Genomic DNA, 26,361 nt, shown 5'->3' with positions numbered 1-26,361 from the left:
ATATAGTTTTTTAAAACCTAGAGTCAACAATTATATCTAGTCTTTACATTGTAGGCTTCCCTAAGTTTCACATTGATAGTGATCAATGTGAGGGTAAGTTTAGTTGATCTCTGCTAAAATGAATGCAGCAAATTATTTGATATTTGGAAAACATTTACTGGTGGAAGAAAATGCAGTTACCTTGTCATTATATAGAATAAGCTATATAATAAAATTTTGGTAAAGAGAACAAAATCTATTTGTTAATCTCACACTTTTCAAACTGGAGTCTTTGTGCCTCAGGGTGAGGGCCAGGCAGGGAAGTTGCAGGTACAATGTGCCAGGAGTAGTCAAAGCCACAGGAGAAACATGGCAAGCCTTCCTGAAATCCAAATTTTAGGAGAAGATGAAGTGTTATGGGGAAATGAGATTTCATATTAAAACAAACATATCCTAATTATATACATATTTAATTCCATGTATATGGAATTAAAATACACATTTTTTCAGAATTTTAAAGTATGAAAACTAGTTAAAGCCTATTTGAGTCATGTTCATAGAAATCTAAGGACTATATATTCACTCTCCTCTGGTGTTAGGAGTACATCAATCATCAATTAGTTTACTTGTGTAACAATTATTTATTTAAGGCTAACTATATGCCAGACACTGTACTATGCTCTCAATGCAAAAGTGAGCAATACAGATATGGTCCCTGCCCTTATGGGGCTTACAGTCAAGTAGTAGGATGCTTTTTTTTTTTTTTTTTAATTAAGCTAACTTAATTCTCCTAACAACTTTATGAGGTGAATTCTATTAGTTATTTTATTCATGTTGTGTTACTTAGGACATAACAGTGCTTTAAATACAACAAGCAGGATTTTCAAACACAAAATAATGTGCAGGGATAGTCTAATTTAGATGAGATTTTATGAGGATGATGAGGTATGGATTGGAGGAAAGCGAGGTTTAATGCAGAGACTATATAAGGGGCAGTTTCTAGTGTAACACATGGTGATGGAAATAGAATTAGAGTGAAGTGGTTCAATTTGAAAATATACACTGGAGGTACAAATAGGCCTTGGATATGGGGAAATCACGGATTGGATATGGGGAAATCACATGAGGAAAACAAAAATAACTTCCCAACTTGAACAAATGGGTATTTGAACAATAGATTGGAGGAGGGCGATTTAAGGTTAAAGAGAAATCAGTTTGGGGCATACTAATTTTAAGATATTTCTAAGACATCCAATTAGAGGTGTTCAGTTGTATATATAAATATGTATACTTATACAGTTGTATACAATACAGTATGTTAGGACCTTTGGGAAAAATATCTTAGCTAGAGATAAAATCTTGGCATCTTGAGTAACACAGCATTAAATTAATATACGCTAGCTTAGATTATTTAAACTTGTGTCCTTTATTTTATCCAGTGCCCCTTTTCTAACATATTTAAAGCTTTGGAAATAAACATTTGGCATTAGTGAATATAATTTCATGCAACAAACATGTAGGGGATACAGAGCTAAGTCCTTCAGGATTTCAGCCATTAAGTAGCACAACTTTGAGGATAGATAAAAATGTGATAAAACATAATAGATGACAAGTATATCATAATTATGATACAAATAAACTGCTGCAAAGGTAGAATACAATTTATAAATGTCAGCCTGGATAGTGATTGAGTATGGGAAGTAAAACAAGAAAAGATAAAGAATAGACAAAGAGGGACAGAGCAGTAACAAAGGAAAGAAGTCCAGGGGCCTACAAAATAGCTAAAATATATTTTCCAGAGGCAAGAGATGTTAGGAGTCATGCATAGTTGGCAGTGCTGCATCAGTTGTCAGACTAGTGGAGGACAATCATAAAGTCAGAGACACTGTGCTGGGGTAGGCTTTAAGGAAGGAAAAGTAGGCCCATGGGCTGGGCAATGAAGTTTATTTCTATCGTAATTATATGTCCTGCATGTAGGAATCATTTCTAATTCCTGTGGGTCACTTAATGAATCTCATCAATTTTACAGGTCTCAAGAAAGCACCAACCTGTGAGCCAAAGGAGCCATCTTAATGTCTTTAGGTCATTAATTTTATACATAGCATGTTCTTTACTACAAGGCTACTTTGAGAGTCACTGTGTCACTGTTGGGCTTCTGGCATAAATAAAGTTAACATAATATACTCAATAAACTCTTTCACTCCTTAGCTAACTCCAACATCATCCAGACACTGATGCTCATCCAAGTTGCCATGTAGATTTATAAGAAGAATCTTGTTAAGATAAAATAACTAAACATAAATAATACTTTAAATTTTATTGCCATGAAATGGCCAAAGGTAGGAATGTAGCAGTAACCCCGGAAGAGCAGTCCTTAGTTCTAACTCTTTTTCTTGGGGGAGTGACATGTAAAAGCCTCTTCAACCAGAAGCACAGTGCCCTTGAGCAGCAGGGGAGCATATCACTTATATCTAAAAGGGAATATTTTGTCAATGAAAGTACATGCTAAAATATATTATATTGATGGTCGTAAAAATAATGTTATTAGAAATTGTTTTAAACAAACATTTTTGAAAATGAAAATAAAAATAGTTAATATTTTATAACTTATATGAATTGCCTAATTTTTTTTAATGAGAAGAATAATTACTGTGGTACATCTCATGTATATTAATCTGCTGAAATTTCTGATATTTTTCTGAAGTCAGCTTTTTAATATGAATTTATTATTCTTAAGTTTTAATGAAACTTCTGGGAATCTTCAAAATTGCTTGTTATGGTTAATAAATTTGAAATATTGACACATTTAATATATATAACAATATTTTTATTTGAAAAATGTTCTCAAAAGGGGCTTAGGTATCTGCTAAGAACAAATTTTGCTAAATTGAAAATATTCTTTTTATTAATTGAAAATATTTTTAATTCTAATGTATTTTTGCATTGTAATGTAAAAGTATTTGAGTCCAAGGTTTTTCACAGACACTGAGCTTTCCCCCCCTTCATTTAGTGTTCCATTATCCAAGAAATAACTTCATAATACCACACTTGCCAAATAGATTGCCTAAATTTATGGCTTTTTTAATGGTTTGCCAAATTTAGATGCAGAAAAATTATAGGCCTTTAAAATCATATTTCAATCCTGCACAGAATATAAATATTTGGAAATTAGAAATTACACCAGGTGCCACATAGAATATAAATAGATCATACAATTCAGAACTTTATCTAAAGACTGTTCTCACAAATTAAGATATTCTAAAGTATGATTATGGAATCTCAAAATCAAATCTTATCCTGTCTTTGAGAATGCATTATTTCATTTGATTTGTTCAGTTAATTTCTTGCTTTAGTCCATTTCAGCACATTCTTGTGGGCTTCAAGTTGCAAGTTTTGTTAATAATAATAGCTATTCCTTAAAAGTTTCAAGAGCTGAATACTGGGATGCTCCATTTGTGAAATACTATGATTAAACATTTCCAAGTAAATTTGCAAAAAAAAAGCACCCAAAGTTTAGAGGACTTATGTATAAAAAGTTATTTTTCAATAGTAAGTATGAGAAATGCCAAGAAAATATGCCGATTGCTATGTTAAAGTATTTTCATTTTTTTAATTCAATATCAGCTTTGTCTCCAAAATTTTGTAATAAAGTGATTCTAATTATAAAAATATTTATAAATCTTGTCACCTTTATCTTCTATTTTGATTTGTAGAATATTGCAATTTATTTGGACCCAATGTGAATTATATTTGCACCACAACAAATTCAGAGTCCATTTCTACTCCATACATTTCTTATTGTGATAAGAATACTGTTTTTAGTGTAATTATGTTCAGCAAAAATTTTTTGTGTGTTATCACTGAAAAAATAAGTAACCTATCTTCAATGTCAACATTTTCAACTAAAATTGTTATACTTTTTACACTATTGTCAGATTTTAAACTTTGATAGAATGACCTTCCATAGCTTTATTTTGAGTCATTGAATTGGATTAAAAAATCAAACTAGTATTGAAATATATTAATTTTATGTTTGAGGCATATGATAAAATGAAATAAAGTAGCCATAACTTAAATGTTTATAAAATTATTTTCTGCTAGTAGAGGCAGCACATTAACAACTGTTGCTTAACTTATGGTACATATATTTAAGAAGTTGGGAGTTGAATAGAATGAACAGCATGCTTTCTGTCATTCTTAGGTTGTTTTGTTCTGACTGACATGACCTAAAAGTAAGTACATGTGGAAGAAGGTCATTATGGAACTTACTGGTAATTTATTTGCAGAATTAAATGAAAATAATAGTGATAAATAAGGGAATGCATATTGATTGTAATCCAATCTCTTATGTCTTCCTGTATCCATGCTTTTCGGTAGTGCCCTCTCATGCTGACACTTGGTTATGTCACTTGCTTAGACCAGTGGGGTTGTAGCAATGTTGATGTAAGCAAGGTCTTGAAAAAATCTTCACGTGATTAATACGGCCATTATGGAAAACAGTATGCAGTTCCTCAAAAAACTAAAACTACAACTTCCATATGCTCCAGCAATCCTACTTCTGGGTATAAATCCAAAGGAAATGAAATCAGTATGTCAAAGAGATAGCTGCACTCCCATATTCATTGCAGCATTATTCACAATAGCCAAGAAAAGAAATCAATCTAAGTGTTCATCAGAAGATGAATGAATAAATAAAATATGGCATATATACACAATAAGGTAATAATCAGACTTTAAAAAGAAGAAAACCCTGTTATGTGTGACAACATGGATAAACCTGGAGGACTTTATGTTAAGGAAAATAAACCAGACACGGAAAGACAAATACTGTATGACCTCAGTTATACGAGGGGGCTTTAAAAAGTTATGGAAAGTGTGTATTATGAAAAAGTTATGCATGGATTTCATGTTTTTTGCACCAGAATAAACTTGTAGTACCTTGTTATAACAGCTATGAACAGGATCTAATTTGAGGCACTAAAAAGAATAAGACATCAGTTTCAAAAGAGCACCTATCAGAACCACATAAATTCTGCAAAAATTGAAGCAAGAACAAACACCAAATTTATAGTAAAACTTAGGTAGAAAAATGAAGACATCATTGATGCTTTACAAAGTTATGGGGATGATGCTCCAAATAAATCAGGAGTTTACAAATGGACAATGAAGCAATGTTGAAGATGAAGCCCACAGAGGCAGACCATCCACATCAATTTTCAAGGAAAAAAATTTATCTTATTTATTCCCTAATTGAAGAGGACTGACAATAACAGAAACAAAAGCCAACACCATAAACATCTCAATTGTGTCAGCTTACACAATTCTGAGTGAAAAATTAAAGTTGAGCAAACTTTCCACTCAATGGGTGCCAAAAATGTTGCTTCCAGAACAGTTGCAGATGAAAGAGAGCAGAGCTTTCAATGGAAATCTTAAACAAGTGGGATCAAGACCCTGAAGCATTTCTTCAAAGAATTGTAACAGGAGATGAAACATGGCTTTACCAATATGATCCTGAAGACAAAGCACAGTCACAGCAATGGCTACCAAGAGGTGGAAGTGGTCCAGTTAAAGCAAAAGTGAACTGGTCAAAAGCAAATGTCATGGCAACAGTTTTTGGGGATACTCAAGGAATTTTGCTTGTTGACTTTCTGGAGAGCCAAAATATAATACTATCTGCTTATTATGAGAGTGTTTTGAGATAGTTAGCCAAAGCATTAGCAGATAAATGCCTGGGAAACTTCACCAGAAAGTCTTTTTCTACCATGACAATGCTCCTGCTCATTCCTCTCTGCAAACAGGGGCAATTTTAGGCATCCACCTTACAGTCCTCACTTGGCTCTATCTGACTTTTTTTATTTTCTAATCTTAGAAAATGTTTAAAGCCACCCATTTTTCTCAGTTAATAATGCCCCTCCCAAAAAAAAGACTGTATTAACATGATTAAATTCCCAAGGCCCTGAGTTCTTTAGGGATGAACTAAATGGCAGGATTGTTGCTTACAAAAGTGTCTTGAACTTGATGGAGCTTATGTTGAGATATAAAGTTTAGAGAAGTAGAGAATAGAATGGTGGTTACCAGTGGCTGGAGGCCAAAAGCGGGGGAGACTGGAGAGATGTTTGTCAAAGCACACAAAATTAGACAGTTTGACAGGAGAAATAAGTTCAAGAGATCTATTGTACAACATAATGACTAGAGTTCATAAGAATATATTGTATACTTACAAATTACTTAGGGAGATTTTTGTTCTCAACCCAAAAAAATCTGAGTATGAGAGGTAATATATATGTTAATTAGCTTGAATTAGCAGTTCTGCAATGTATACATATATCAAAATATGATGGTTTATACCACAAATATATACAATTTTTGTCAATTAAAAATATATTTTGTAATCCTCACAAAAATGAAAATAAACAAAATTAATTTAGAAGAACAGTCATTTGAGCTAAATGAAAAGTTATGATTCAGAGTAATCTGCAAATGTATCTTTTGTGTCTCCCCAAAATTCATATATTGAAACTTAATCTCCAATGTGATATTGTTAGAAAGTGGCATCTTAGGGAGGTGATTAGGTCATGAGGATTTGCCCTCATGAATGATATTAGTGCCCTTATAAAAGAGACCCCAAAGAGCTAGTTATCCCCTCTGCCATGTAAGAACACAACAAGATGGTGCCTTCTATGAGGAACAAGCCCTCACCAGTCACCAAATCTGGCTGTTTCTTGATCTTGTACTTCCCAGACTCAAGAATTGTGAGAAATAGATGTCTGCTGTTTATAAGCTGCCCATTCTCAGATGTTTTGTTATAGCAGCCCAAATAGACTAAGACATAGCTGCATGTGTTAAATCATCGTATGTAGGCACAGCCTTCTTACAATAATTACTAACTGAAATAGATGCTGATGGTCCTTTAGGAGAACTGTTTCTGGTTTTCATTTGGTTGTGACCAAGAATATATAAGAAATAGAAATTTAGTATATAGTACTTTAATTAAATATGTAGTTTTAATTTTATTTATTTCTGTCGGAAGGGTTTTATTGCAAAGTTAGAAAATATTTACTAAACACTAAAAACCAAATAATTATTGGTTTATACCACACAGTAAATGGCAAAATCAGTGTAGCAAGGCTGTCTAACTACACCCTATATGCCTTATAGCAGGGCTGGCCAGTCTAATTTCCCAAGTTTTCAGCTTACCCTATCAATTGGCAGCCTGGCAGCTTTGTGAATTTTGTAGACTAAAACATCGACTAGATAAATATATGAATGGTCCATTGAATGGTCAGTAAAGGAGCAGAATGGGCATGAGACAATTTGTCACAAAGATCAAAGAAGAGAAACTGAGACAGTCTGTGTGCATTCCATCACCTACCATTTTACTGAGATGAAGTTAATATTTCTCCAAGAATCTTCAGTTTCTTCTCCAATGTCACCATCCTGATTTCCAGAAATTGCCTCGTGTCTAGAGCAGCCATTTTCTTTCCATTCATCTATTTTCTGTGGTGATGAGCTGCTGAGCTGGTCCCATGTTTTTGATTAAGGTGAATAATCTTTGTGTGGTCTTCCCCGTCTTTAGTTTGCTGATGGGTTGTAAAGTACTAGTTCAGTTTCTAGTGTTTTAAGAAGTTCCTGCTTTTGATACGTCTTTGAGGGACTGGCTGTGAGACCCACTTGCTGCCTTGCTTCAATTTAGTGTCTACCAAGCACAAAGTGGTTTTGAATGAAAACTCTATAATTAGGCTTGGTCATCTAGGTTAGTTGGTTACATAGGTGAAATGGCTTTTCTTGATGTTGAGCTCGTAGTCTAGCCATGTTTATCCATAATTGGACTTGCCTTTTGCCTAGGGAAGTATCCAAGTGAACTCCAGAGCATATTGCTGTATTTAGCCATGACTTACTGCTTTCCAAACACTGTATTCTCCAGAAGGTACACTTTGAGATGGTGATTTCATGCAGGAGATTTATTAGGAAGTATTTTGGGGGCCAACACCTGTGGAAAAAGAAAATAGAGACAAGTTCAGCTGCAATACAATCTCAATAGAAGCCTCTGCTGACCCTATTGGGAGTTCTGAAGAGGTAATGAGCCTTACCAGCTGTCCTGAATTGGGGTGAAGTGGCCAGGCTTTTATAACCACATGTTCATCAGTCATTGAATGAAGGCTACCTATGAAGAGTGTGTAGGCTAGGTTAGGCAGCTTTTGTCAGCTGAGGTCATCCTCAAAGGGGGCTAAGAGCTGAGAGGCTGTCTGCTGGCAGCACACCTAGCATCTGACATAATAAGCCCTTTATTCCTGACAGGGAATCTTCTTGCATCACAGCACCTACACCATTGCCCTTGGATACATTAATAGAGTTCTCCTATTATTGGCTTTTTTTTTTTTTTTTTTTTTGTGATGGAGTCTTGCTCTGTCACCCAGGCTGGAATGCAGTGGCTCACTGCAACCTCTGCCTGCCGGATTCCAGCAATTCTCCTGCCTCAGCCTCTGAGTAGCTGGGATTACAGGTGCGTGCTACCACGCCTGGCTAATTTTTGTATTTTTAGTAGAGACGGTGTTTCACCATGTTGGCCAGGCTGATCTCAAACTCCTGACCTCGTGATCCGCCTCGGCCTCCCAAAGTGCTGGGATTACAGGCGTGAGCCACATCGCCCGGCCCTATTGGCTTTTTATTCCCAACATGCTGAGAACAAATTTGCAGAAAATCGAAGGCAAAAGTGCGTAGGGCCCTCAAAAATCACTGTGCATCTCTGAAACTTTGATAAGCCTACTTTTATACTTTGTTATATGATATAATGAATATCTTTATTACTTAAGTTATTATTATTCAGAATTCTGTTACTTGTAATTGAAAGTATTCTCAACAAATATAACCAAACTTGTACAGCCAAACCATTCAATGACAAAATAATTAACCAAAAAAATCAACTGTTGACTTTTGATAGAAAAACTAAAAAAAGCCTCTCTGAGGAGATAATATTTGGGCTGAAATCTGAATCACAAATGGGGTTAGCCAAGTGAGGATGCAAGAAGAGCATTCCTGTTAGGGGGAACAATTGCAGAATCCTAAGGCAGAAGTGAATTTGGCAGGTTCAAAAACATGATTCTTATTAAAGAATTTGGTTTGCCAGGCTATGATTTAAGATGTTTAAGATGCTCCAGTAATGCTTAGGGATTTCCCCCACAAATATTTAATATGATTACAAACATTTTAAATGTAAAGGGAAAGAGGAACAAGAAAAATTGTCAAATAAATGATTATGACTTAGGAAGAAGAACATTTGTGTAAGAGGTTATCTGCAATTGTCAGAAGAAAAAAATACCTGATAAATATATTGAGAACAAGATTTGCCTTCAGAGATGTGTGTGTGTGTGTGTGTGTGTGTGTGTGTGTGTGTATGTGTATTTATATAAATACATACAAGGAGGTAAACATAGCTTTATAGCATCATCAAGCTGAATTAAATGACAGGAGCATAACAGCAGAAAGCTCTATCACTCTTTTAGGAATAAACCTGGTAGAAGTGGAGGTGTGTTAGTACTGTATGCCAAGAAGTTGCTGGAAAATCTTCAGCAGTGTGGCTGGAGAATTGTTGGAAAAATCTTCATAAAGACCTATCTCCATTTTTACCTGCATAAAGATAGCAGAAAGAAAAAAATACTGAAAGAAAAAAAGTAAGATTCCACAGGCCAAGATTCTTGGAAAAATAGATGACTCAAGAGTAATAGAAAACTTTCAGACATGAATCTGTGACTGTACCGCATCAATGATGCCAATTTGCAGATGTATTTGCTAAACTTCTGCCAGTAATCACTGAGGAATTACAGAAAATGGGAAAGATTGTAGTGTCAGCCAAGGTTCATGGCAGAAGACAGAAGCATTTTAAGCAGCAGAGATTAAATGCTGTAAATGGGTGCCTGCAGTTACAGGAAGGCCTGGAGAAGTGGGCTGTACTCTGGGCTACCTTGAATGACTCCCAGACACCCAAGAGCTGAATCACCAGGGAGCTCCCACCTCTGAGAGTATCCTAGAACCATCAGATTTCCAGAACATACAATCAAAGCTGAGATAGGAAATCATAGAGCTGGAACTATGCACTTACTGTTGCCATGGCTACTCTATTATGCTGTGAACGGGGGAGTGGAACCTGGAGTTCATTGGGGACTCTGCTTCCACTCCTCCTCTTAACCAGGAATCTAGAGAATGACATGAATTATTGCTTTGGAAGAAAACCTCACATCTCCACAAGACCTTGCTTCCCAAATAAGACATGTCAGAAGATGCTGATAATCCTCACTTCTGCATTACAAATCGCTCATAGGTGCATCTGCAGGATCTTACTTGGATCCAGAGTGCTAGCTGCAAAAGCTTCTGGGAATTGTACACTTAACTCTGAAGTTTTATCTTTAATATAGGAAGGTATGACATAGAAGAGTCAGATGGAAGTTCAGTAAACCAAACCACAGTATCCACACAATTCAAGACAGCCAAAAGTTCTTATTTCTTTAGAGGAAGGGATAGCTTATAAGAGACACCTCCTGAACTCAACACTGGTCCTTGTATTGGTTAGAAAAGATACCCTGTGAACCATTAAGACAGGGTGTAGTGATCACTGGGAATAGGGGGTTTGTTAAAAACAAATCATACAGATAGTTTATTAAAGTGGTAAGCCAGAGAACTGTATGGCTACAGCGTATATATGTATGTATGCGTGTATTTATTATTTTTATTGATATGGGGTGGTCTCACTATGTTGCCCATGCTGGTCTTGAACTCTCGGGCTCAAGCAATCCTCCTGCCTCAGCTTTCTGGGTAGCTGGGACAATAGGCACATGCCACTGTGCCCAGCTTATAATGTATTTAAAGTTTAACAAAGCTTTTTGTCTTTTTGGAAGATGTATTTTATGATGTCATGGGATATACTTGAAAAATGTGGTCATGATGGTGGTACAGTTGAATGTATTTGTAATTAGCAGAAAGACTAAAGAACTACTGATTAGCAGATATGTGTCCAATTGTTGCCTATGCTGTAGGAATTAATGCTTTATCCTGTCCTACATAATGAATCTGGGAAGAACATTGATTTTAAAAATAGTAATAGCCATCATTTACTCAGTGCTCACTCTAGGTGAGGCACTATTTATACATTATTAACTCTTTTACTCCTTACAGCAAGCTTGTCAAGTTGTTATTCTCTTCATTTTAAGTATGAGGAAACTGATGTCAGAAAGTGTAAATGACTTGCCCACATTTAGTAAGCAGCAGGGCTGACATTCATACCTAAAATTGCTTTGAGGAGGAAGTACCAGACAGAGGGAGAATGCCACAACGTTTCCAGGAGAACTGTCTAGCTTTTTGCCTGCCAAGAAACCCCACAGGGTGGGATTTTCTCAGTTATTCCACATGAGATAGGGGGATGGCCCACTGTCTTGCATGATCTGGTCAATATCTCAGGGACTCAAACTTACACTGACAATCCTCACTACCATCTCACATATAAAACCAGATGCCCGTTTTTTGAAATTATGAAAGATGTAACAGTCAGGCTGACCAAATATAGACAATATTCTTATACACATATAAAGTCTTGATTAGTATAATGTTGAATAAGTCTTGATTAGTATAATGTTGGCTGTAGAGGATCGAATCAGCCCAAGGAGACTCTGATCAGAATGCTAACTGGCTGTAGTTTCTGACAATCACAATATGAATGTGTCCATCTGGTTGGCTGACAGGATCTCTAGACCTACATGGAAAGGTACTTTCTTATTTGGCCAAGAAGTGCCAGAGTTTGCCTCTCCAACTCCCTTATATGCCTTCATGACTGATTGCCATTCTTTCTTTTGATATTTTAATAATTTCAGCTAAGTTAATTTTGGCTTAAGATTTAGTTCTTGTCTTTGAGGTGATGGATCAATTTTCTGCCAATACAATGACTTAACTTTAGACAGTAAGTTTAATTCCTGTGTTTCCAAATCCACTGTTGCCCTTGTATGTTACCTATAAGAAACATGCCCACTTGGCTCTTTATCTGTGCTGCCATTGGTAGGTGAAAAAGAACAAACACAAGCACAGAAGCACCAGTGCTGACATATTAGTGTAAGAGCAGCACAAGATTTTTAAGAGACAGTATTTTAAATTAACACAGGCTCACTGTGAGTCAATAGGGTGGGATGGAGGGAGAGGAGCCAAGATGGCTGATTAGAAGCAGCTCCAGGCCGGGCCTGGTGGCTCATGCCTGTAATCCCAGCACTTTGGGAGGCCAAGATGGGCGGATTACTTGAGGTCAGGAGTTTGAGACCAGCCTGACCAACATGGAGAAACCCCGTCTCTACTAAAAATACAAAATAAGCTGGGCGTGGTGGCGCATGACTGTAATCCCAGCTACTCAGGAGGCTGAGGCAGGAGAATCACTTGAACCCAGGGGTCGGAGGTTGCGGTGAGCCAAGATCGTGCCATTGGACTCCATTCTAGGCAACAAGAGCAAAACTGTCCAAAAAAATAGAAGCAGTTCCAGTCAGCAGCTCCCACTGAGAAGAATGAAAACAGTGAGTGAATCCTGCTCCATCAACTGACGTATCCAGGTTCTCTCACTGGGACTGAATAGGCAGTTGGTATGACCCATGCAGAGTGAGGAAAAGCAGGGTGGAGCAATGATCCGGGAGCTGCATGGGATAAGGGGAACTCCCACACCCAGCCAAGAGAGGTGGTGAGTGACTGCGCTGCCCCGCCTGGGAAACCATGCTTTTTCCATGGATCTGTGCATCCTGTGGATCAGAAGATCCCCTCATGGGCCCACATCACCAAGGCCTTTGGTTCCAGGCACAGAGCTGTGCCACCTGCTTGGGTTGCAACCAGTAGCAGCAGGCTGGACAATGCCTAATACAACCGAGTGCCTGGGGAAGGGGTGGCCAGTCACCATCACTGCAACTCCAGTTGGCCATTTTACGCTGCTGGTGTCAGGGAGACTGGGTGGTTTGAACTGAGAGGAATTTCCCATAGCAGCACATCACAGTGGCTGTGGCAGATCGTGGCCAGACTGCTTCTTTAGGTGGAACCTGGATCCATCCCTCCTCACTGAGCAGGGCCTCCCTGCAGAAATTGTAGCATCTCCAGCCAGGGGTTTTCAGACAGAACTCTGATATCCCTGGGAAGGAGCCCCTGAGGGGAGGAGCGGCCACAGTCTCACAGTTGGGGGCACCTAGTCTTTCCTGCCTGCTGGCAGTCCAGATGAGGGGGATTCTCCCCAGCACAGCCCAACCTGCTCAGCCAAGGGGTAGTCAGACTGGTTCTTTAAACAGTTCCCTGATCCTGTGCCTCCTGACTGAGTGAGACCTCCCAACAGGGGTTGCCAGACACCTCCTACAGGAGTGTTCTGGCCAGCATCAGCTCAGTGCCCCTCTGGTATGGAGCTTCCAGAGGAAGGAGCAGGCAGCCATCTTTGCTGTTTGGCAGCCTCCACTGGTGATACCTCCAAGTGCAGGAGGGACCCAGGTGAACTGGGTCTGGAGTGGTCCCCCAGTAAACCACAGCAGCCCTATGGAAGTTGGGCCATACTGTTAAACAAAAGACCCCACAAAAACCCCGTCCAAAGGTCAGCAGCCTCAAAGATCAAAGGTAGAAAAACCCATGAAGATTTGAAAGAATCAATGCAAATATGCTGAAAACTCAAAAAGCCAGAGTCCCTCTTCTCCTCCAAATGATTGCAGCACCTCTCCAGTGGGGGCACAGAACTGGGGTGAGACTGCAATGGATGAATTGACAGAAGTAGTCTTCAAAAGGTGGGTAATAACGAACTTTGCTGAGCTAAAGGAATATGTTCTAACCCAATGCAAAGAAGCTAAGAACCATGATAAAACATTACAGGAGCTGTTAACTAGAATAACCAGTTTCGAGAGGAACATAAATGACCTGATGGAGCTGAAAAACACAAAACAAGAGCTTCACAATTTAACCACAAGTATCAATAGCCAAATAGACCAAGTAGAGGAAAGGATCTCAGAGCCTGAAGACTATCTTGCTGAAATAAGACAGGCAGGCAAGGTTAGAGAAAAAAGAATGAAAAGGAATGAACAAAACTTCTGAGAACTATGGGATTATGTAAAAAGACCGAACATATGACTGATTGGAGCATCTGAAAGAGATGAGGAGAATGGAAGCAAGTTGGAAAACATACTTCAAAATATCATCCAGGAGAACATCTCCAACCTAGTAAGACAGACCAACATTCAAATTCAGGAAATCCAAAGAACCCCGGTGAGATACTCTATGAGAAGATCAACTCCAAGACACACAATCAAATTCTCCAAGGTCAAAATGAAGGAAAAAATGTTAAGAGCAGCCAAAGAGAAAGGCCAGGTCACCTACAAAGGGACACCCATCAGACTAACAACAGACCTCTCAGCAGAAACCCTACAAGTCTGAAGAGATTGGAGGCCAATATGCAACATTCTTAAAGAAAAGAGTTTCCAACCCAGAATTTCATATCTGGCCACACTAATCTTCATAAATGAAGGAGAAATAAAATCCTTTTCAGACAAGCAAATGCTGAGGGAATTTGTCACCACCAGGGCTGCCTTAGAAGAGCCCCTGAAGGAAGCACTAAATATGAAAAGGAAAAACCATTACCAGCCACTACAAAAACACGCTGGAGTACAGAGACCAATGACACTATGAAGCAACTATATTAACAAGCCTGCAAAATAACCAGCCAGCATCATGATGACAGGATCAAATTCACACATAACAATATTGACTTTAAATGTAAATGGGCTAAATACCCTAATTAAAAGACACAGAATGGCAAGCTGGATAAAAAGACAAGACCCAACAGTGTGCTATATTCAAGAGGCCAATCTCTGTGCACAGACACACATAGGCTCAAAATAAAGGGATAGAGGAAAATTTATCAAGTAAATGGAAAGCAGAAAAAGGCAGGGGTTGCAATCCTGGTTACTGAAAAACAGACTTTAAAACCAACAAAGATAAAAAAAAAAAGACAAAGAAGGACATTACATAATTGTAAGGGTTCAATTCAACAAGAAGAGGTAACTCTCCTAAATATATATGCACCCAATACAGGAGCACACAGTTTCATAAAAGAAGTTCTTGGAGACTTTCAAAGAGACTTAGACTCCCACACAGTAATAGTGGAAACTTTAACACCCCACTGTCAATATTAGGCAGATCATCGAGACAAAAAATTAACAAAGATATTCAGGGCTTGAACTCAGCTCTGGATCAAGTGGACCTGATAGATATCTACAGAACTTTCCACCCCAAAACAACAGAATATACATTCTTCTCAGTGCCACTGGCACTTACCCTAAAATTAATAATATAATTACAAGTAAAACACTCCTCACCAAATGCAAAATAAGTGAAATCATAACAAACAGTCTTTCAGACTACAGTGCAATCAAAGTAGAACTCAAGATTAAGAAACTCACTCAAAACCACACAACTACGAGAAAGGTGAACAACATGCTCCTGAATGACTCCTGGGTAAATAATGAAATTAAGGCAGAAATCAAGCAGTTCTTTGAAACCAATGAGAACAAAGAGACAACATACCAGAACCTCTGGGATGCAGCTAAAGCAGTGTCAGGAGGGAAATTTATAGCTCTAAGTGCCCACTTTGAAAAGCTAGAAAGATCTCAAATTGATACCCTAACATCACAACTAAAATAACTAGAAAACTAAGAGAAAACAAACCCCAAAGCTAGCAGAAGACAAGAAATAACCAAGCTCAGAGCAGAACTGAAGGAGATAGAGACACGAAAAATCCTTCACAAAAATCAATGAATCAGGAGCTGGTTTTTTTTTTTTGGAAAAGTTAATAAAATAGACCACTAACTAGATTAATAATGAAGAAAAGAGAATAATCAAATAGACACAATAAAAAATGATAAAGGGGTTATCACCCCACAGAACTACAAACTGCCATCAGAGAATACTATAAACAACTCTACACAAATAAACTAGAAAATCTAGAAGAAACAGATAAACTCCTGGACATATATGCCCTCCTCAAACTGAACCAGGAAGAAGCTGAATCCCTGAATAGACCAATAACGAGTTCTGAAATTGAGCAGTAATAAATAGCCTACCAACCAAAAAAAGCCAAGATGGATTTACAGCTGAATTCTACCAGAGGGGCAAAGAGGAGCTGGTACTATTTCTTCTGAAACTAGTCCAAACAATTGAAAAGGAGGGACTCTTCCTAACTCATTTTATGAGGCCAGCATTATCCTGATACCAAAACCTGGCAGAGATATAACAAAAAAAAGAAAACTTCAGGCCAATATCCCTGATTAGCATTGATGCAAAAATCCTCAATAAGATACTGGCAAACTGAATCCAGCAGCACATAAAAAAGCTTATCCACCATAATCAAGTTTGCTTCATCCCCAGGATGCAAGGCTGGTTTAACATACGCAAATCAATAAATGAAGTTCATCACATCAAACAGAACTAAAGACAAAAAACACATGATTATTTCAATAGATGCAGAAAAGTCCTTCAATAAAATTTAGCATCATTTCATGTTAAAACTCTCAATAAACTAGGTATTGAAGGAACATACCTCAAAATATTAACAGCCATTTACAGCAAACCCACAGCCACTATCATACTGAATGGGCAAAAGCTGGAAGCACTCCCCCTGAAAACTGACACAAGACAAGGATGCCCTCTCTCTTCATGCCTATTAAACATAGTAATGGAAATTCTGACCAGAACATCGGGCAAGAGAAAGAAATATAGAGGATATTCAAATAAGAAGAGAGGAAATCAAATTGTCTTTGTTTGCAGGTGGCATGATCCTATATCTAGAAAACACCATAATCTCAGCCCAAAAGCTCCTTAAGCTGCTAAGTGACTTTAGCAAGCTTTCAGGATACAAATTTAATCTGAAAAAGTCACATGCATTTCTATACACCAATAGATAAGCAGAGAGCCAAATCATGAATGAACTCCCATTCACAATTGCTACAAAGAGAATAAAATACCTAGGAATACAGCTAACAAGGGACATAAAGGACTTCTTTAAAGAGAACTACAAACCACTGCTCAAGGAAATCAGGACACAAACAAATGAAAAAACATTCCGTGCTCATGGATAGGAAGAACAAATATTGTGAAAATGGACATACTGCCCAAAGTAATTTATAGATTCAATGCAATTCCCATTAAACTACCATTGACATTCTTCACAGAATTAGAAAAAACTATTTAAAAAATCATATGGAACCAAAAAAGAGCCCAATAGCCAAGACAATCCTAAGCAAAAAGAAGAAAGCTGGAGACATCATACTACCTGACTTCAAACTATACTACAAGGCTGCAATAACCAAAACAGCATGGTAATGTTACAAAAAAATGAAAAAGATACATAGACCAATGGAACAGAATAGAGAACTCAGAAATAAGACTGCACGTTTACAACCATCTGATCTTTGACAAATCTGACAAAAACAAGCAATGGGGAAAGCATTCCCTATTTAATAAATGGTGCTGGGAAAACTGACCAGCCATATGCAGAAAATTGAAACTGGACCTCTTCCTTACACCTTATACAAAAATTAACTCAAGATGGATTAAAGAAGTAAATGTAAAACCCAAAACTATAAAAATCCTAGAAGAAAATCTAGGCAATACTATTCAGGACATAGGCATGGGCAAAAATTTCCTGATGAAAATGGCAAAAGCAATTGCAACAAAAGCAAAAAAGGACAAATGGGATCTAATTAAACTAAAGAGCTTCTGGACAGCAAAAGAAACTGTCATCAGACTGAACAGACAACCTACAGAATGCGAGAAAACTTTTGTAATCTATCCATCTGGCAAAGGTCTAATATCCAGAGTCTACAAGAAATTTAAACAAATTTACAAGAAAAAAACCAACCTCATATAAAGGGGGCAGAGGACATGAACAGTTACTTCTCAAAAGAAGACATTTATGCAGCCAACAAACATGAAAAAAAGCTCAACATTACTGGTTATCAGAGAAATGCAAATCAAAACCATAATGAGATACCATCTTATGTCATTCACAATGGTGATAATTAAAAAGTCAAGAAGAAACAGATGCTGGCAAGGCTGCGGATAGGGATGCTTTTACACTGTTGGTGGGAATGTAAATTAGTTCAACCATTGTAGAAGACAGTATGGCATTCCTCAAAGACCTAGAACCAGAAATATCATTTGACCCAGCAATTCCATTACCGGGTATATACCCAAAGGAATATAAATCATTCTGTTGTAAAGATACTTGCATGCATATGTCCATTGCAGCGCTATGCACGATAGCAAAGACATGGAATCAACCCAAATGCCCATCAATGATAGACTGGATAAAGAAAATGTGGTACATATGCATCATGAAATACTATGCAGTCATAAAAAGGAATGACATCTTGTCCTTTGCAGGGACATGGATGGAACTGGAAGCCATTATTCTTAACAAACTAATGCAGGAACAGAAAACCAAACACTGCATGTTCTCACTTATAAGTGGGAGCTGAACAATGAGAAGACATGGACACAGGGACGGGAACCAGACACATTGGGGCCCGTTGGGGCCAGGAAGCAGAGGAGGGAGAGCATCAGGAAAAATAGCTAATGCATGCTGGGCTTAATACTTAGGTGATGGGTTGATAGATGCAGCAAACCACCATGTCCCACATTTACCAATGTAACAAACCTGCACATTCTGCACATGTACCCAGGAACTTTAAATAAAATAAATTTTTTTAAAAAGTGAAAAAGAATAGTGTGGAATGTCATTATTAAAGAGTTCCAGGACAGACTTAGCTGTATAAACAATGTCAGAACAGGATTGTTGAATGAATGAGCAAAGGAATGAATGAGAGAGTTACTAGCTCTACCCTAATCTTCAGTAACACTCTATACCCAGAGTAGCAATGTTTATTTAGCACAAGGTCCACATTTTCAGAGCATATTGACACACTGGAGTTTATTCAGAGGAAACTGACCAGATAGTAACGGGACTTGAAACCACATCTGACAAGTGATGGTAGGGGACTGGTAATATTTAATTTAAGAAAGTAAAGACTTAGGGGAAAAATGCTAAAAGCTAAGAGTTAAGAGTGTTGACTCTAGGCCACGCATTGTGTGCAGCCTTTTAATAGATTTCATATATTATGGTTAATAATGGAAAGGAAACATTTTATTTTGAGTTGCCCTGGAAGGCAGGACTAACAGTCGTCAGTGGAAACTGCAGAAAGATAACTCTGTTTATTAGAATGATGGCATTTCTATTCTCAAAGCTGCCGAACAATAGAAAGAGCTGCTTAGATATAATGATTTCCATGTTTTTGGAGGTGGGCAAACAGAGACTGGTGAAACTTTTCATGGACATATTTTAGAGAGGAATGAGTATTAAATGAAAGTATGGACCAGGTGAACTCTAAGACTTTTTTCAACCTTATTCTGTGAATCTATCATTTTCTTACAGTACAGAAATTCCATTTTTTGCCCCTAGTTCTGTGGCATGAGGCTTCAATGGTCAATGTTACTTCTAATTTAGTAGATCAGTTGTAGTGGATTCTGGTTTTGCATTTCCTCCTGACAACTAAGACAAAACCCAGCAGGACTCAAAGTTTCAGGGATGGGTCACATATTTTGTGAGTGCATCATTAGGTATAATGGCAAAAAGAGCCTCTCTCACTTTCTCATTTGATCTCTAAACTCATGTACTCTGCATATGAGAGAAATAGCACCAAATATTTAGATAGCTTTTTCAAAGCATTGTAAATTTTCAATCTCGGTGTGAAAGCTTCACATGTGAATAGCATTTATTTTTGTCTTTGTATTTAAATGCAGTTATTTATGTTTCTAAAACTCTCTGATTGCATTTCTTATTTTGAGCTTTGTTATTGTTAATGAGAGTACACTTTGATCATCAGCCCACCAGTGCTTTTATGGCAATTAACATCACATCTTAAAAATTGGTTCTTAGTTGGGTGACATAGTATGTGGCTGTAGTCACAGCTACTAAAGAGACTGAGGCAGGAAGATACCTTGAGCTCAGGAGTTCAAGACTAGCCTGGGGAACATAGCAAGACTCTGTTTCTAAAAAACAATAACAAACAAAACACCTGGTTCTTGTGAATGGGTATAGAAAATGTTCATTTAAAACAAACAAAGAACAATGAAATTTTATAGCTATAAAAATTAAATATCATATATTAACAGATGAGAAATTCAAGCTCAGAGAGATTAAATGACTTGCCATAGTCACATGGCTAGTGGGAAATTTGAATGCCTGTCTTACTTCTTTATTCCACCCACTCACTGAGGCAATTATATGCTATATTCTTGGCAAGATCTTTTTCTTCTCCTTTGCCCTCTTCTACTCCTTCCCCCCTTCTCCTGTTTCTCCTTCTTCCCTTCCTCCAACTCTTCTTCATCCTCCTAGCATGTAGAATATTCTTATGCCAGTCACTCATATCTTTACTTAAAGCCTGATTGGCATGTGACCAGAGTAGACAGTATCTAAGATTCCGAAATAGCATTTTCTTTACCAGTATCCTTAATCAAGTAGGCAAGAGTTCTAAGGAATCTTTTGTTCTTAATTCTGAGTTGCTCTTGGATCTCTACAGTGCCGCGTATGATGCTGTCCTTGACAGAAATGTGGCCATTAAGAAGCTCAGCAGACCCTTTCAGAACCAAACACATGCCAAGAGAGCGTACCGGGAGCTGGTCCTCATGAAGTGTGTGAACCATAAAAACGTGAGTTTTGTTATTTTTAAACTTCTGGCAGTGGGAGTTTGTAAGATTGGAAAAAGAAAATGTGTCTGTACTTGAGTAAGAAAGGCTTTCTTTGCTTTGCAATTCCTGCCTCTTAAGATTGTTTATCCTGCCAATATGCTACATTCGATTTCATTGTCCTCATGGTAGCTTTCTGCTTAAAAATCACCTAAAAACCATATGATGTGGAAGTGATGAATTTTATAAATATTTCCCTAGTTAGAAAATTTACCATATTTGGTTATCTTGCTCCAAATTGAGAGCTTCAAGAAAGAAACAAGACAAGCAAAGCCAAAAGCCAGAAAAAAAAAACCTACAAAGCACCATGCTACATTTCTTTATAATTTAGATTTAATTTAGATTTATAATTTAGATTTAATTGCCAACGGTTGAGTTTTATTCATGTTATCTCCTTTTTATTTCAGCTGTAGCCTGGTGGTGGCCTCTAATTGTTCAGTGAATTCACTGTGTGTTGGCATCTTATTTTTTTCAGGGGTGGGCAAGTATGTGAGTACATATTTGCAAACCACTTGAGAATAGGATCAAGAGCTTTTTCTCATCGGAACTCAGCTGGGTAGACCAGTAAAGGACTTTCTTCATTTCAGAATCTAAGCTCCTTCAATCACAGGCCAAGACCTCTAGAATTCTTTCTGTGCTCCACTTCTTCTTAATAAAGATAAATAGGAGATAATTCATTATTTTAATAACTTTTATTAATAAATAAATTATAATAAATACATCAAATACATTTTAGATATAAATATATAATAAATTATAAATTATTATAAATAAAATTTTATTTTCTTAAAAATCAAAAGATAACTTCATTACAAGTAAAATTATTCTATAGTATAATAGCTATAATAACTCTCTACAAAGTTCTTATGTATGAAAATTACACAGAACACATTACCAGTGCGGTTTTATAAACCAGGGATCTTGTCCTAATGCTCGCCATCTACCAGTGGCACTGAGAAGACACAAATGTGTTAGTATTAAGTTGAAAGATATTTGAAATGCAAATATGCAGATTCGGGCCCCATGACAGTATTTCTCTTTTCCTCTGTTACTCTACCCTGATGATTTTTTAATTCAGTCATTTGACATGTATGTGTTGAATGAATAAAATGTGCCAGGAACAGATCTAGATGGTGAAGAAAACAGACAAATTGCTGCCCATGTGGAGTTATGCTCTATTGGCAAGAGCAAGGCGATCCACAATAAGACAGGTCAATGTGTAAAATGTCAGGTGATGATAAGTGCTATTAAGTAAGGCAAAGCAAAGAAGGAATATTTAAAAATGCTGGTCAGTGTATGGTGGGATAGGTTTACCCTTTTAAATAGGCCAAGCAGCAAAGGCCTCACCAAGAAATTGAAATTTTATGAACTGCACACTCATATCTAATATGGCCATGCAACAAACATGAGACTTCTAGAAAGGAATATAGAAATGATAGAAAGGATGGTTCCTATGAAGAGTTATATACTAATTTGTTCTTTCAGTATGTTAAATAAAGGTAAGTGCAAGATTAGCCACATGATCAATGCAATATATTCTGTTATACCAAGGAGGATGGAGCATAACATGGGCAATGAAAAATGGATGGATACAAGCAATGAATCAATTGTATGGAAAGTTTTCCATACATGTATTTATATTTCCCTCATCCTCATTCCAGACCCTGTAATGCAATAGAATGTGGAGAAATGCTCACTTACTTGGTCAGTTTGAGAGAATACTTCCCATTCTTGACTGAAATGTTGGAGACTCATATTTATGAAGCCTAAAAAAGAGTTCCAGATTGCAGTGATAATTTATAAATAGCATCACACCTGCTACCTTCCTTTTATGTGTGTATGTATGTATGCAGAAGTCTACAGAAACACATTTCTGGAACTTTTTATGAAGAGGAAATTCACTTACAACCAAATGTAAATTTCGCATTAATAAGAACGTAGAACTGTGTTAATACTGTGGAAAGCAAAGCAAGAGCAAAATAATCCCATTAAATCTTTAATAATAGTGAAGAAAATCTGTTTAGAAAATACTTCTTTATGGTGTTAGTTTGGTCCCCTGTTTTCTGTATTTCTTATCAACTGAAAATTAGATTAAAATTGTTATCTAGAAAAAGAAAATAAATATTCAATTCCAGGAACTAGTGGGGCCTGACAAACATAGATTCACATCTGTGTGTCTCAAGATGCTGGAATAAAAGAACTGAGATTCCTGTCTGGAAACTGTTGGATTAAAATGGAAATTTTATAGCTGTGATAATCTCCTTCTACAGATGCCTTTTTAAAATTGACTATTGGTAGGAATTAGAATTTACAAGAGAGCAAATGAAGGATAGAAGAGAAATTCTCGAAGAGTAAAAAGTAATAAAACAAGGTCATAGGAAAAGGGAAAATAAGAACATACAGTAGGGAATAGATCTTGATAAATTACCTTTTAAAACAATAAATCTTGATTTATTTAAAATTGTAATGCTATTTTCTATATTTTTTAAATTATCTAGATTATTTGTTCACTAAGTGATCTGGGTTAGCATTTTTCCATTTTTAAGTAGTGTTCATGTGAATGTTTGTGTGGATGTAATGTGTGCTGTATACACAGTCTCTAATATTTTTGTTTGAACAAATAGCAAAATGAAATAAATTACTTTATGAGATTGATAAAGTCCTAGAGAAACAGACCCACTGTAGATGTTCCAATGAAAGGTGTACTTCATAGTCATTTTTCAACACTCACTAGCACTGAGTACACAGAATAACATGGCACTTTAATCACAAGTTATAAAGATAATTTTAAAACAATTTTATTTCTATATGAATATTCCACACTGCAAGGTTGCTTTAGAAGAGATGATCTTGTATTTTTAAAACTATATTACAACATTGCCATATATATGTATACTAGAAAATATTGGATGGTACTGTGGTTATTTTTTGTCAATAATTTCTCAATCAGTTAAAACTACGTGAGACATAAAACATTCCATAGAATTGAGTCAATTTCTCAGGTGTTTAAACTAATTTTGTTTTATGTTTATTACTCCACATGTCTTTATATCATTTATAAAGTTTACTGAAATTCATTGATTGATGCTTTGAAGCTGCTTAAATCTTGACCTTGTACTTATCTAATTTTTATAAAATAGTTGCAACTATCTTGTGAGTATAAGATTTTTATATATTTTTATATTCATTTCCTACTGGCACGTTAGTACCAAATATTTAGCTGGAAGAACATTTTGAGTTATTGATGTATGTACTCTACTGAGAAATGTGACAAGGGGTTTTTACAAAATTTGCTTATACTAGAAGGTAGATTTTTTTACTAGCTGATATATAAAATAAAGCAGGAAACAAAAAGCTTTTAACTGAATTTAAATAACTTTAAAATAATTTTCTATTAAATCCATCATTGATATCATCTAGAATGCACCTTTCCCCACACATATTATTGGAGCATTAGTTTAATATTTGAGTGTGAGGTAGAAGTAAAAAAAAATATAAAGTAACAACACAAAAAAATCATGAAGTAGAACACAACTTTGTTCATTTGGAGAAGTATCCCCTTGCTAAGTCTCACTGAGTGTTTTACTGCCACCTCTCTCCTCACATGGCATTTCTTCCTTTTTTGTTTAATCCCCCGAAGGCCCATATTCTGCCACGAGGAATCACACTTGAAAGCAGTGTAACAATTATGCATCTCTCTGACTCTTGCTTCTGCCCAAGAATTGAGCTTTTTAGCTGCATTATTAACCTGAAGACAGATCATCTGTTCTTTCTGAGCATACTTTTCTGTGTCCTCTGAGACAGCTCAAGACATTTTTCCAACTTCTCCATTTCTGCCATAGCACTAGTGAGTGACTTTGAGTTGAAATACAATTTAAAAATAATACATTCTCTCTCTTTTTTCTTTCTCTCGTTTCCTCTGTCCCTTCCACTCTCTTTCAGATTATTAGTTTATTAAATGTCTTCACACCCCAGAAAACGCTGGAGGAGTTCCAAGATGTGTAAGTAACAAAACTCATGAAGGAAGGGAGAGCACAGCACTCAGATAGCCCAAGGGAAAATCACACACCACACACACACACACACACACACACACACACACACACACACAGAGTTGAAATCCCTTATACTGCTCAAAGAGAGGTAAGAGGTGGGGTCAAATGAAAGGGGTCCAGTGATATGTAAAGAAGATTCTGTTTGTGGGGTTACTTCCTGGAAAGACATTCTGCCTCCTTTTGGCCTTGTGGCTTTATATACTTTGTTGTTCCATGCTCTTGGTCACTCAGGGAAGGCTTATTTATTTATATTTATTAATAGATTCCACAAACTTTCTACAATGAGTTAATTTACCTGAAGAAATAGTAATAAGGCCAGGCATGGTGGCTCACACCTGTAATTCCAGCACTTTGGGAGGCCGAGGCAGGTGGATCACAAAGTCAGGAGATCAAGACCATGCTGGCCAACATGGTGAAACCCCACCTCTACTAAAAATACAAAAATTATCCAGGTGTGGTGGCATGCACCTGTAGTCCCAGCTATTCAGGAGGCTGAGGCAGGAGAATTGCTTGAACCCGGGAGACGGAGGTTGCAGTGAGCTGAGATCGTACCACTGCACTCCAGCCTGGGTGACGGAGCGAGACTCCGTCTCAAAACAAACAAACAAAAAGAAATAGTAATAAAAGGGACGTGAAAATTATCTTTATTCTTTCTATCTTTATAGTGTCATTGATTTTGTGCAAAGTCTACCCAGTAGTGACAACAGATGGAGGAGAGGAAGTGATTCCCTAGCACCTTGTCTTTAATACAGATACATTGAATTTAATGGAAGAAGCTGTCCTTAATTTTTTTCTTATTTGAAATTATAATATTCACAAAAGAGTTGAGGGAATACAGGGGAAAGTGAAAGCAAAATTAAGGTAACAAATCTGTGGACATGAACCAGACATTAATAAATGCTTTTTCTACTAGCAACCTTTTGGTAGGGTTCGTATAGCTAACACACATGCAATACCTGGAAATGCTCAGTCTTGATTAAGTCAAAGGCAGAGCTAAGAAGTTCAGAAGACTTACAGAGTTAGGAGAGCATTCTGACTAAATCAAAGGACTTCATAGATCTTGTGATCTGGAACTAACACTGTGGATTCACCCTTCTAGTTACTTAGTAATGGAACTGATGGATGCCAACTTATGTCAAGTGATTCAGATGGAATTAGACCATGAGCGAATGTCTTACCTGCTGTACCAAATGTTGTGTGGCATTAAGCACCTCCATTCTGCTGGAATTATTCACAGGGTAAGAACACCTTCTCTAGGATTACAATTCAAATGCTTTAAGAGGAAGAGTAACTGTAGATTATTTTCTTTATACGGGGGGCATTGGTCAAATATAATATACTTCCTCATTTCTTTGATACTAGAATTAGCACCTAGTTCACTAATTGTAGAAGGAAATTCTAGTTATATTGTAGTTGAGTTTGTTCAATGTTATGTTTTGGCTCATTGAGATGCAGCTTCTTAGAAGCCTCATGCTTTCAGCTCCTTGATTGGCAGAAGTCATATGTGCAACTGAAATAAGAAAATTCATTTCCATAGATG

The 26,361-nt window shown here is 36.9% G+C and overlaps 1 protein-coding gene and 1 long non-coding RNA gene across 15 annotated transcripts in view; one reads left to right on the top strand and one right to left on the bottom strand.

Moving 5' to 3' along the window:
* The window catches only part of MAPK10-AS1 (MAPK10 antisense RNA 1), a 100,121-nt gene extending 91,974 nt beyond the window's left edge, over positions 1-8,147 (bottom strand). Inside the window, exons 1-3 of the long non-coding RNA NR_110879.1 lie at positions 8,070-8,147; positions 7,352-7,969; positions 253-361 (exon numbers count right to left, since the gene is read on the bottom strand). This is a non-coding gene — a long non-coding RNA (MAPK10 antisense RNA 1). The remainder of the gene's footprint in view (positions 1-252; positions 362-7,351; positions 7,970-8,069) is intronic.
* The window catches only part of MAPK10 (mitogen-activated protein kinase 10), a 583,670-nt gene that overhangs the window by 466,122 nt on the left and 91,187 nt on the right, over positions 1-26,361 (top strand). For 13 of the 14 annotated variants that reach the window (XM_047415964.1, NM_002753.6, NM_138982.4 and 10 more), the window contains 3 exons: positions 20,601-20,730; positions 24,709-24,767; positions 25,921-26,059. In XM_047415964.1, the coding sequence (XP_047271920.1) occupies positions 20,601-20,730; positions 24,709-24,767; positions 25,921-26,059 (328 nt within the window). The remainder of the gene's footprint in view (positions 1-20,600; positions 20,731-24,708; positions 24,768-25,920; positions 26,060-26,361) is intronic. The other variant, NM_001318068.1, reaches the window with a different exon arrangement.

The sequence above is a fragment of the Homo sapiens genome, chromosome 4, assembly GCF_000001405.40.
Source record: "Homo sapiens chromosome 4, GRCh38.p14 Primary Assembly".
Lineage (NCBI taxonomy): Eukaryota > Metazoa > Chordata > Mammalia > Primates > Hominidae > Homo > Homo sapiens.
The sequence above is the reverse complement of the archived record's forward strand: the minus strand, read 5'-3'. Positions and strand labels throughout refer to the sequence as shown.